Below are 12,008 nucleotides of genomic sequence, written 5' to 3' on the forward strand. Positions count from 1 at the left end.
TAAGTGGCTTTATTTCTAGATTCTCCATTCTGTTCCATTGATCTATGTGTCTATTTTATACCAGCACCATGCTGTTTTGGTTACTATAACTTTGTAGTATAATTTGAAATCAGGTAATATGATGCCTCCAGCTTTGTTCTTTTTCCTTAGGATTCTCTTGGCCATTTGAACTCCATATTAATTTTAAGGTTGTTTTTTCTAATTCTGTGAAAAATGATGTTGGTAATTTGATAGAGGGCATTGAATCTGTAGATTGCTTTGGGCAGTATGGATTATACTTCTCTTTTAACTGAATTTTTAGTGTTTGCTTTAGGGTTTTCAAATTTACAGCTTTTCACAGTCCTTCTTGAAGAAATAATGCTCCCTTTAAATTTTTCCATTTTTTTTTTTTGCTATTGCTTTCATATACTTCACCTCTTTTTTTTTTTTTTTTTTAAAGACAGTCTCACTCTGTCACCCAGGCTGGAGTGCTGCAGTGGTGTGATCTTGGCTCACTGCAAACTCTGCCTCCCAGGTTCAGGTGATCCTTCAATCTCAGCCTCCCGAGTAGCTGGGATTACAGGCATGCACCACCACACTGGGCTAATTTATATATTTTTAGTAGAGGCAGGGTTTTGCCACATTGGCCAGGCTGGTCTCAAACTACTGACCTCAGGTGATCTGCCCGCCTTGGCCTCCCAAAGTGCTCATGCCTGTAATACACCACGCCCTGCCTCAGATACTTCTATATATGTTAGGAAGCCTCCAGTGCCTTGTTGCTGGTTTTTCTGTTCATAATCTCTTATCCTTCCAAATGAATAAAAATAAAAAAGTCTTTTTATATACCCCCATTTTTTGCTGTTTTGAGAATGCTTCGTTTCTTTGTGTAAATTCAGTTTCCATTTGACAACACCTCCTCCCCTGAGGAACTTCCTTAGCAGTTTTTGTAGTGTAGGTCTGTGGGCCACAACTCCTTTCAACTTGTATCTGTCTGGAAATGTTTACTTCTCGTTTTTTGTTTTTTTGGTAACAGCTTTAATAAAATGTAACTCACATACCACACAGTTTGTCCACTCAAGTGTGCATTCACGGGATCGTAGTGCATTTACAGAGTTGCACAACCACCACCACAAATTCAGAACATTTCCATCGCCCCCAGAAGGAACTCTGAACCCTTGAGCAGTCACTCCCCACCCCTCCCTGCCCCCAGTCCCTGACAGCCACGCATCTCCCTTCTTCCTCTGTAAATTCGCCTCTTCTGCACCTTTCACATAAATGGAATCATACACTCTGTGGCCTTTTGTGTCTGGCTGCTTTCACTTAGCGTGGGGTTTTCCGAGTTCATCTGTGTTGTCATATGCGTTAGGATTTCATTCCTTTTCATTGCTGGAATAATATCCTATCACGTGGATAGACCGTTTTTGTTTATCTGTTCACGAGTTGACTGACGTTTGGGTCATTTCCGCTTTTTGGCAATTGTGAGTCACGTTGCCGTGAACATACCTGTGTGTGTTTTTGTGTGGACTTGTGTTTCCGTTCTCTTGGGTTTACACCTAGGGGTGGATGGCTGGCCTATGGTGGCCCCAGTTCCAATGGTGTGAGGGCTGGCCTGTGGGGCCCCAGGTCTGACGGCATGGGACTGGCCTGCGGTGACCCTGGGTCTGACTGATTGAGGGCTGGCCTGTGGTGGCCCCGGGTCTGATGGCATGAGGACTGGCCTGCGGTGGCCCCGGGTCTTACCGTGTGAGGACTGGCCTGCAGTGTCCCCTGGTCTGACTGACTGAAGACTGGCCTGAGGTGGCCCCGGGTCTGACTGAGGGCTGGCCTGCGGTGGCCCCAGGTATGATGGCATGAGGACTGGCCTGCAGTGGCCCCGGATCTTACTGCGTGAGGGCTGGCCTGCGGTGTCCCCGGGTCTGACTGATTAAGGGCCGGACTGTGGTGGCCCCGGATCTGACAGCAGTGTGAGGGCTGGCCTGCGGTGGCCCCGGGTCTGACTGATTGAGGGCTGGCCTGTGGTGGCCCTGGGTCTTACCGCGTGAGGGCTGGTCTGTGGTGGCCCCAGGTCTGTGGTGGCCACACTGTCTTCAGGCAGCCTCCACCCCAGCGTGTGAGAGTTTTCTGCTCTTCCCCAAGTGGCAGCCAACTTCTGCCCACACGGCTTCCTCTCCTTGCTCGTGAGCAAAAGGGTTTTGCTTCCACGCTTAGCCTAGAAGGGGTAGATCCAGGAAGAAGAGGGCCTCTGCTTCCCCCTCTCCCGGTGACCTGGGGAGAGGGTTTGCTGTGCTTCCCCCAGTGGCTTTGTCCGAAAGAGGGTTCTGGGCAGGGGGTGTCCGGTACCTGCACCTGGGGCCACTTCCCGTCTTCTGCTCTCTCTCAGCCCTTCCTGTGAGTGCCTGGTGCCCTCCCCTATCTGAGAACTTGGTCCCAGCTCTTCTGAAGGGCACACTGGGCCACAGGGGGCCCGAAGAGTCCTCGCCCACTGTCTCCTGTGTTCAGCTGACTGTGGGGAACCTGGGCCATTTGAGGGTTTGTCACCATTTGGAATTCAGCCCCTCGGGGGCCTGGAGCTCATCAATGGACTCCAGGAAAGACATGATTATGTAGATGAGGTGGCTTTATTTGTTTCCAGGATGGGAGTGACATTCTCTTGTGATTTTCTACATCTTAAGCGGAGGTGGTTTTCTTGTGTTTTTTTGAGACAGAGTTTCACTCTTGTTGCCCTGGCTGGAGTGCAATGGCACGATCTCAGCTCACTGCAACCTCCACCTCCTGGGTTCAAGTGATTCTCCTGCCTCAGCCTCCAGAGTAGCTGGGATTACAGGTGCCCGCTACCATGCCCAGCTAATTTTTTATTTTTGAGATGGAGTCTCACTCTGTCACCCAGGCTGGAGCGCAATGGCATGGTCTCGGCTCACTACAACCTCCACCTCCCAGGTTCAGGAGATTCTCCCGCCTCAGCCTCCTGAGTAGCTGAGACTACAGGCATGTGCCACCACACCTGGCTAATTTTTGTATTTTTAGTAGAGACGGGGTTTCACTATGTTGGCCAGGCTGGTCTCGAACTCCTGGGCTCAGGTGATCCGCACGTCTTGGCCTCCCAAAGTGCTGGGATTACAGGTGTGAGCCACCTCACCCAGCCTCTTGTGTTTTTAAAAAGACTTTTGTTACCTTGTTTGTAAATTACCTCTTTTGATAGTTACCAGTTTATCTAGTGAGAACTTATTGGTTTGTTATTACATTTCACAACCTCCTGATATAGTAAAGATGCTTTTTGTTGTATTTACTGCAAAGATTATTTCGACTGGTTTCTAGCCTCTCAGTTGCATCACACATTTATAATAAAGATGTGGAAGGATTTCATTTGCTGGGACATTTTTTTTTCCTTTTGTATATTCCTTTTATCTTTTTTAAGCCTAGAAAGGCCTCTCCTCTCCAGAGATTTGAAAAATGCTCGCTTTTGCTTTTTCCCAGTGGTTTTAATGCTTTGACTTTTTTCACCTTTAATTCCCTTTAATCCATTTAGAATTTTAAGGTAGAAAGGCAATGATCCATAGATTCATTTCTCCTCAAGTCAGCAGCCCAGCATCCCATTCCCTGCGCATAACACGCCCCCTTTCCCACTGAGCCCAGGGACCTTCTCTGGGGGCGGGGGGGGGGGGGGGTCCCGTTTCTGGCCATGTGCTCCTGTTCAATCATGTAGCTACTCCTGAGGTTTTGGGGTTTCTTTTCCAGTTGGGTAAAACTGCATTATTTGGACTAGAGAATTGTTTTTCTGTTTGAAACAAAGTTTGCAGCTTTCCCCCCAGGCCCGTTTGAAGCTGCTCCCTTGGCCCGGCCGCCAGAACCTCCCCCGAGCGTGTTCCTCTTCTGTCGTGCTGCCACTGTGCTGGCTGCCAGGCCTAGGGGGCCGGATGATTGGCCGTGGCCGCCGTGCGCCCTGAGCTGCCCGTCACGAGCCGGTGTTGTCTGACTGCACAGGCCGTCAGGCGCAGCGCAGGGCTGGTGGGTGGCCCTGAAGGCTCAGACAAGCGGCGCATGGGAGTGACCCAAATGCCCACTCCTGCCCCGTCACCCTCTCTCCTGGCACCTGCGGCTTCCAGGAGACCCCCACAGCCAGCTGCCGAGGCCTGGGCCCGGCTTACAGTGGCCCCCGCAACGTGGGCACCTGGCCTGGGAGCGGACGGCCCAGCCCCACAGCGCTGGGGTCTGTGGACCCCGGTAGCCTCGCTTCTGGTGGTGGGATCTGCATTTGTTTTCTCTTGCTGCCATGACAAATTCACATAGAGTTCCCCATATTAGATGGGTCCATTTGCTGCCTCTTGCTGTTTTCCCTGAAGTCTGGGCTGGGGCTCATTCCAGGCTCTGGCCCCACTGCCTTTCCTGGGTCTCATCTCTTGTACTTCTGGTTGTTAGCAGATTTCAGCGGTAGCACTGGAGGGCATGCATTTTCGTTTTTGTTGTTTTGAGGATTGAAAGTTGTTTATTTACACACACATGCCAGCAGTTGGCTGCAGAGATACCAACATGGAAACAAGCCAGGAGGGTTGACACTATTTACATATAAAAGAATCAAGATTCGTACATGGAACACGAATATGCCACCAGTTTTTAAATTTTAACTGTGGTAAAATAGACATAAGTTTTACCATCTTAGCCATTTTTAAGTGTGCACTTCAGTAGTGTGAAGTATATTCACATTATTGTGAAACCAATATCCAGAACTTTCTCATCTTGTAAAACTGAAACTCTGTCCCCATTGAACAGCTCCTCACTTCCCCTCGTCCAGGCCCTGGCAGCCACCTTCCATTTTCTGTTTCTATGAGTTTGTTCCAAAGACCTCATGCCTCCGTGTTGCGGCACGTATCAGAATTTTCTTCCTTCTTAAGGCTGAATCGTGTTCCATCTTGTGTGTAGACCACATCTTGCTTATCCATTCATCTGTCAAGGGACATTTGGGTGGGTGGCGTCTGCCTCTAGGCCATGGTGGATACTGCTGCTGTGAACACAGGTGGACAAATGTGTCTTCCAGACCCCGCTTTCAATTCTGTTTTTAATATTTTGAGGTGGCATGGTGGCTCACACCTGTAATCCCAGCTACTCAGGAGGCTGACGCAGGATAATTGCTTGAGCCCAGAAGTTGGAGGCTGCAGTGAGCTACAGTCATCACTGCGCTCCAGCCTGGGCAACAGTGTGAGACCCCACTCAAAAAGATTTCTTTTGAGGATCCATCATGCTGTTTTCCACAGTGGCTGCACCATTTGACATTTCTGCCGACAGTGTACCAGGCTTCCAATTTCTGTACACCCTTACTAATACTTGTTATTTTTTGGTTTTTGATCATAGCCATCCTAATGGGTGTGAGGTGGCGTTGCATAGTGGTTTCGATTTGCACTTTCCTGACAATTTGTGATGTTGAACACCTTTTTATGTGCTTATTGGCCATTTGTATATCTTCTCTGGAGAAATGTGTATTCAAATCCTTCCTAATTTTAAGATCAGATTATTTATTTTCTTGCTGTCAAGTTATAGGATTTTTTTTTTTTTTTTTTTTTTTTTTTTTTTTTTTTAAGATGGAGTCTCTCTCTGTCACCCAGGCTGGAGTGCAGTGGTGCAATGTCAGCTCACTGCAACCTCTGCTTCCCAGGTTCAAGCGATTCTCCTGTCTCAGCCTTCTGAGTAGCTAGGACTACAGGCATGTGCCACCATGCCCAGCTAATTTTTTTTTCTAGTAGTGACAAGGTTTCACCATGTTGACCGGGCTGGTCTCGAACTCCCAACCTCAAGCAGTCTGCCCACCTCAGCCTCCCAAAGTGCTGGGATTACAGGCGAGAGCCACCATGCCCGGCCAAGTTATAGGAATTCTTTATATATCCTGGACATGAACCCCTTATGAGATAGGATTTGCAAATATTTTCTCTCATCCCACAGTTTGTCCTTTCAGCCTGTTGATTATGCCCTGTGATGCACAAAAGTTTTTAATTTTGCCATAGTCCAGTTTATCTATTTTTACTCTTATTGCCTCTGCACTGATGTCATATTCAAGAGATCATCCCCTAAGTGTCATGAAACTTTTGCCTTAATTTTTTTTCTAGAGTTTTGTACTTTAAGGTCTTATGTTTAGGTCTTTGATCCATTTTAGGTTAACTTTTGCATAGGGTGTAAGGTAAGGGTCCAACTTCATTCTTTTGCATGTGGACATCCAGTTTTCCCAGCATCATTTATTGAAAGACTATCATTTCCCCATTGAGTAGTCTTACTTAGTACCCTTGTCAAAGATCATTTTATATGTGAACTCACACTTATTTGTAAACCCAGGATTTATTTCTCCTATGTTTGCTTCTATAAGATTATTGTTTTACCTTTCACATTGTTATCTGCAATCCATTGGAAAATGATTTTTTGTCTATGGTAGGAGCAAGCTATATTTTTCTGTGTGAATGTCCAGTTAACTCAGCACTATTGAGAAAAAAGACTGCCTTTGCCCAGTGCCTCACAGTGTTGCCTGCATCACAGACCAGCGACTGCTCACATGCTGGTCGGCTCCTGAGCTCTGGAGTGAATCCTGAGTCTTGTCTGTTCTTATCCCAGTGCCCGCATCTTTACTAAGGTGCCCTTGGAGAGGTCTGGAGATGGGTAGTGCGAGGCCTCCGGTTCTGCCTTCATCGTCACGGTTGCCTCCGTTATTCTTGTCCTCCTGTTCTTTTATGTACAGCACAGGTCAAGCTGCAGAGATGAGCCAGCCCCTCTGCTTGGGTTTGTGGTTCTGCTGAGCCAACTGGCCTTTCCGAGGAGTCTTGGGGGGAGACGTGATCCTTTCCTGAGGCACGGGAGCAGCAGTGCACAGAGAACCACACGTCGCTTCCCTACAGAGCAGCCCTCATCGGCCTCATTGATTTGGGTCTTTTTAAATCTCCATGTCTCTTCTTAACCGGCCACTGTCTTCCTCTGCTTTCGTGCACATAGGGATTTTATTTATGCTGACTGTTTTCCTGTCCCTGCCTACGAATTCTGTCATCTGTGTCATGTCTGCGTTTGTCTCTGTGGGTCGGCTTTACCCTCCTCATTGTGAGTCCCAGGTCTCTGCTCATTGCATGCTTGGCAATTTTTTAAATTTAATTTTTATTATTTTGCTTCCCATTGACCAAACCCAACCTGGTAATTCTTGATTAGATGCCAGACATTGGGCATTGTTTGTTTGGGGGGGGGGGCTGAATTTTTTTTTGCTTCCCTTTTAATAATTTTCAAATTATTATTTTTTAAATTTTTTATTTCCATAGGTTATTGGGGAACAGGTGGTGTTCGGTTACATGGGTAAATTGTTTAGCGGTGATTTGTGAGATTTTGGTGCACCCGTCACTCAAGCAGTATACACTGCACCCAATTTGTAGTCTTTTATCCCTCACCCTCTTCCCACCCTTTCCCCGAGTCCCCAAAGTCCATTGTGTCATTCTTATGCCTTTGCCTCCTTGTAGCTTAGCTCCCACCTACGAGTGAGAGCATATGATGTTTGGTTTTCCATTCCCAAGTTACTTCATTTGGAATAATAATCTACAGTCTCCTCCAGGTTGCTGCGAATGCCATTAATTCATTCCTTTTTATGGCTGAGTAGTATTCCATTGTGTATATATACACCACAGTTTCTTTCTTTTTTTTTTTGAGACAGTGTCTCACTCTGTCGCCCAGGCTGGAGTGCAATGGTGCAATCTAGGCTCACTGCAACCTCCGCCTCCCAGGTTCAAGCGATTCTCCTGCCTCAGCCTCCCGAGTAGCTGGGACTACAGGCGCCTGCCACCATGCCCGGCTAATTTTTATATTTTTAATAGAGACAGAGTTTCACCATGTTGGCCAGGATGGTCTCGATCTCTTGACCTCGTGATCCGCCCGCCTTGGCCGCCCAAAGTGCGGGAATACAGGCGTGAACCACCGCGCCCGGCCTATACCACAGTTTCTTTATTCACTTGTTGATTGATGGGCATTTGGGTTGGTTCCACATTTTTGCAATTGTGAATTGTGCTGCTATAAACGTGCATGTGCAAGTATCTTTTTCCTATAATGACTTCTTTTCCTCTGGGTAGATACCCAGTAGTGGGATTGCCGGATCAAATGGTAGATCTAGTTCTTTAAGGAATCTTCACACTGTTTTCCATAGTGGCTGTACTAGTTTACATTCCCACCAGCAATGCAGAAGTGTTCCCTGTTTACTGTATCCATGCCAACATCTATTCTTTTTTTTGATTTTTTGATTATGGCTATTCTTGCAGAAGTGAGGTGGTATTGCATTGTGGTTTTGATTTGCATTTCCCTGATCATTAGTGATGTTGAGCATTTTTCATATGTTTGTTGGCCATTTGTATATCTTCTTTCGAGAATTGTCTATTCATGTTCTTAGCCCACTCTTTGATGGGTTCGTTTTTTTCTTGCTAATTTGTTTGAGCTCATTGTAGATTCTTAATATTAGTCCTTTGTCAGATGTATAGATACTGAAGATTTTTCTCCCATTCTCTGGGTTGTCTCTTCACTCTACTGACTGTTCCTTTTGCTATGCAAAAGCTCTTTAGTTTAATTAAGTCACAGCTATTTATCTTTGTTTTCATTGCATTTGCTTTTGGGTTCTTGGTCATGAAATTCTTGCCTAAGCCAACGTCTAGAAGAGTTTTTCTGATGTTATCTTCTAGAATTTTTATAGTTTCAGGTCTTAGATTTAAGTCCTTAATCCATCTTGAGTTGATCTTTGTATAGGGTAAGAGATGAGGATCTAGTTTCATTCTCCTATATGTGGTTAGCCAGGTATCCCAGCACCATTTGTTAAAAGGGTGTCCTTTCTCCACTTTGTTTTTGTTTGTTTTGTCAAAGATCAGTTGGCTGTGAGTATTTGGGTTTATTTGAACCCAAAGTTCTCTATTCTGTTCCATTGGTCTATGTGCCTGTTTTTATGCCAGTACCACGCTGTTTTGGTGACTATGGCCTTATAGTATAGTTTGAAATCAGGTAATGTGATTCTTCCAGATTTGTTCTTTTTGCTTAGTTTTGCTTTTGGCTATGTGGGCTCTTTTTTGATTCCATGTGAATTTTAGGATTGTTTTTTCTAGTTCTGTGAAGAATGATGGTGGTATTTTGATGGGAATTGCATTGAATTTGTAGATTGCTTTTGGCAGTATGGGCATGTTTACAATATTGATTCTACCCATCCATGGGTAGAATGTTTGTGTTTCCACTCGTTTGTGTTATCTATGATTTCTTTCAGCAGTGTTTTATAGTTTTCCTTGTAGAGGTCTTTCACCTCCTTGGTTAGGTGTATTCCTAAGTATTTTATTTCTTTTGCAGCTATTGTAAAAGGGGTTGGGTTCTTGATTTGATTCTCAGCTTAGTTGCTGTTGGTGTATAGGAGAGCTACTGATTTGTGTACATTAATTTTGTATCCGGAAACTTTGTTGAATTATTTTATCAGTTCTAGGAGCTTTTTGGAGGAGTCTTTAGGGTTCTCTAGGTATACAATCATATCATCAGCAAACAGTGACAATTCGACTTCCTCTTTATGGATTTGTATGCCCTTTATTTCTTTCCCTTGTCTGATTGCTCTGGCTGGGACTTCCAGTACTATGTTGAGAAGTGCTCTGGCTGGGACTTCCAGTACTATGTTGAAGAGAAGTGGTGACAGTGGGTATCCTTGTCTTGTTCCAGTTCTCAGAGGGAATGCTTTCAGCTTTTTCCCATTCAGTCTGATGTTGGCTATGGGTTTGTCATAGATGGCTTTTAATACATTGAGTTATGTCCCTTGTATGCCAATCTTGCTGAGAGTTTTAATTATAAAGGGATGCTAGATTTTGTCTAATGCTTTTTCTGCATCTATTAAGATGATCATGTGATTTTTGTTTTTAATTCTGTTTATGTATTGTATCACATTTATTGACCTGCATATGTTAAACCACCCCTGCATTCCTGGTTTGAAACTTACTTGATCATGGTGGACTATCTTTTCGATATGTTGTTGGATTCGGTTAGCTAGTATTTTGTTAAGGATTTTAGCATCTATGTTCATCAAGGATATTGGTCTAGTTTTCTTTTTTAGTTATGTCCTTTCCTTGTTTTGGTGTTAGGGTGATACTGGCTTCATAGAATGATTTAGAGAGGATTCTCTCTTTCTCTATTTTGTGGAATAGTGTCAATAGGATTGGTACCAATTCTTTGAATGTCTGGTAGAATTCAGCTGTGAATCCATCTGGTCCTGGATTTTTTTGGTTGGTAATTCTTTTATTACCATTTCAGTCTCGCTGCCTGTTATTGGTCTGTTCAGAGTATCTGGTTCTTCCTGATTTAAGAAGGAGGGTTGTATCTTTCCAGGAATTTATCCATCTCCGCTAGGTTTTCTAGTTTATACGTGTAAGGATGTTTTTAGTAGCCTTGAATGATCTTTTGTATTTCTGTGATGTCAATTGTAATATCTTCCATTTCATTTTTAATTGAGCTTATTTGGATTTCCTCTCTTCTTTTCTTGGTTAATCTTACTAATGGTCTATCAATTTTCTCTCTCTTTTTTTTTTTTTGTGAGAGGAAGTCTTGCTCTGTCACCCAGGCTGGAGTGCAGTGGTGCGATCTTGGCTCACTGCAACCTCCGCTTCCTGGGTTCAAGCGATTCTTCTGCCTCAGCCTCCCGAGTAGCTGGGACTACCAGCGCATGCCACCATGCCTGGCTAATTTTTGTATTTTTAGTAGAGATGGGGTTTCACCATATTGGCCAGGCTGGTCTCGAACTCCTGACCTCGTGATCCACCCACCTCGGCCTCCCAAAGTGCTGGGATTACAGGCGTGAGCCACTGCACCTGGCCTTATTTCTTTTTCAAAGAACCAGCTTTTCGTTTCATTTATCTTTTGTATATATTTTTTGTTTCAATTTCATTTAGTTCTGCACTGATCTTGGTTATTTCCTTTCTTCTGCTGGGTTTGGGTTTGGTTTGTTCTTGTTTTGCTAGCTTCTTGAGGTGTGACCTTAGATTGTTTGTGCTCTTGCAGATTTTTTGATGTAGGTGTTTAGGGCTATGAACTTTCCTCTTAGCACTGCCTTTGCTGTATCCCAGAGGTTTTTATAGATCACTGTTGTTCAGTTCGAAGAATTTTTAAATTTTCATCTTGATTTCATTGTTGACCCGGTGATCATTCAGGAGCAGGTTATTTAATTTCCATGTATTTGTGTGGTTTTGAAGATTCCTTTTGGAGTTGATTTCCAGTTTTATTTCACTGTGGTCTGAGAGAGTGCTTAGTATAATTTCAGTTTTCTTAAATTTATTGAGGCTTGTTTTGTGGCCTATCATATGGTCTATCTTGGAGAAAGTTCCATATGCTGTTAAATAGAATATATTCTGCAGTCGTTGGGTAGAATGTTCTGTAAATATCCATTAAGTCCATTTGTTCCAGGGTATAGTTTAAATCCATTGTTTCTTTGTTGACTTTCTGTCTTGATGACCTGTCTAGTGCCGTCAGTGGAGTACTGAAGTTCCCCACTATTATTGTGTTGCTGTCTATTTCTTTTTTTAGGTCTAGTAGTAATTGTCTTATAAATTTGAGAGCTCCAGTGTTAGGTGCATATATAATTAGGGTTGTGATATTTTCCTGTTGGACAAGGCCTTTTATCATTATATAATGTCCCTCTTTGCCTTTTTAATTGCTATTGCTTTAAAGTTTGTTTTGTCTGATATAAGAATAGCTACTCCTGCTCCCTTTTGGTGTCCATTTCCATGAAATGTCTTTTTCCACCCCTTTACCTTAAGTTTATGTGAGTCCTTATGTGTTAGGTGGATCTCTTGAAAGCAGCAGATACTTGGTTGGTGAATTCTTACCCATTCTGCAATTCTGTATCTTTTAAGTGGAGGCTTTAGGCCATTTACATTCAACATTAGTATTGAGATGCGAGGTGCTGTTTCATTCATCATCCTATTTGTTGCCTGTATAGCTTGGCTTTTTGTTTAATTGTATTTTTGTTTTATAGGTCCTGTGAGATTATGCTTTTAAGAGGTTCTGTTTTGATGTCT

At 44.1% G+C, this 12,008-nt stretch overlaps 1 protein-coding gene across 48 annotated transcripts in view, besides 3 other annotated features; it reads left to right on the forward strand.

Moving 5' to 3' along the window:
- JAKMIP3 (Janus kinase and microtubule interacting protein 3) overlaps positions 1-12,008 on the forward strand; it is a 148,495-nt gene that overhangs the window by 38,627 nt on the left and 97,860 nt on the right. The window lies entirely within an intron of this gene.
- Positions 4,338-4,507: an enhancer, noted in NCBI's record as "experimental_11225 CRE fragment used in MPRA reporter constructs". NCBI's record gives its function as "activates a minimal promoter by MPRAs in K562 erythroleukemia cells, with activity observed for both the introgressed and non-introgressed 10:133892917 or rs6560679 variant alleles {active_cell/tissue: K562}" and the evidence as "EXISTENCE:reporter gene assay evidence [ECO:0000049][PMID:34662402]".
- Position 4,423: a transcriptional cis regulatory region, noted in NCBI's record as "Neanderthal adaptively introgressed variant 10:133892917 (GRCh37/hg19 assembly coordinates) or rs6560679 in the experimental_11225 CRE". NCBI's record gives its function as "modulates activity of the experimental_11225 enhancer by MPRAs in K562 erythroleukemia cells {active_cell/tissue: K562}" and the evidence as "EXISTENCE:reporter gene assay evidence [ECO:0000049][PMID:34662402]".
- Positions 10,199-10,368: an enhancer, noted in NCBI's record as "experimental_11227 CRE fragment used in MPRA reporter constructs". NCBI's record gives its function as "activates a minimal promoter by MPRAs in K562 erythroleukemia cells, with activity observed for both the introgressed and non-introgressed 10:133898778 variant alleles {active_cell/tissue: K562}" and the evidence as "EXISTENCE:reporter gene assay evidence [ECO:0000049][PMID:34662402]".

The sequence above is a fragment of the Homo sapiens genome, chromosome 10, assembly GCF_000001405.40.
Source record: "Homo sapiens chromosome 10, GRCh38.p14 Primary Assembly".
Taxonomy (NCBI): domain Eukaryota; kingdom Metazoa; phylum Chordata; class Mammalia; order Primates; family Hominidae; genus Homo; species Homo sapiens.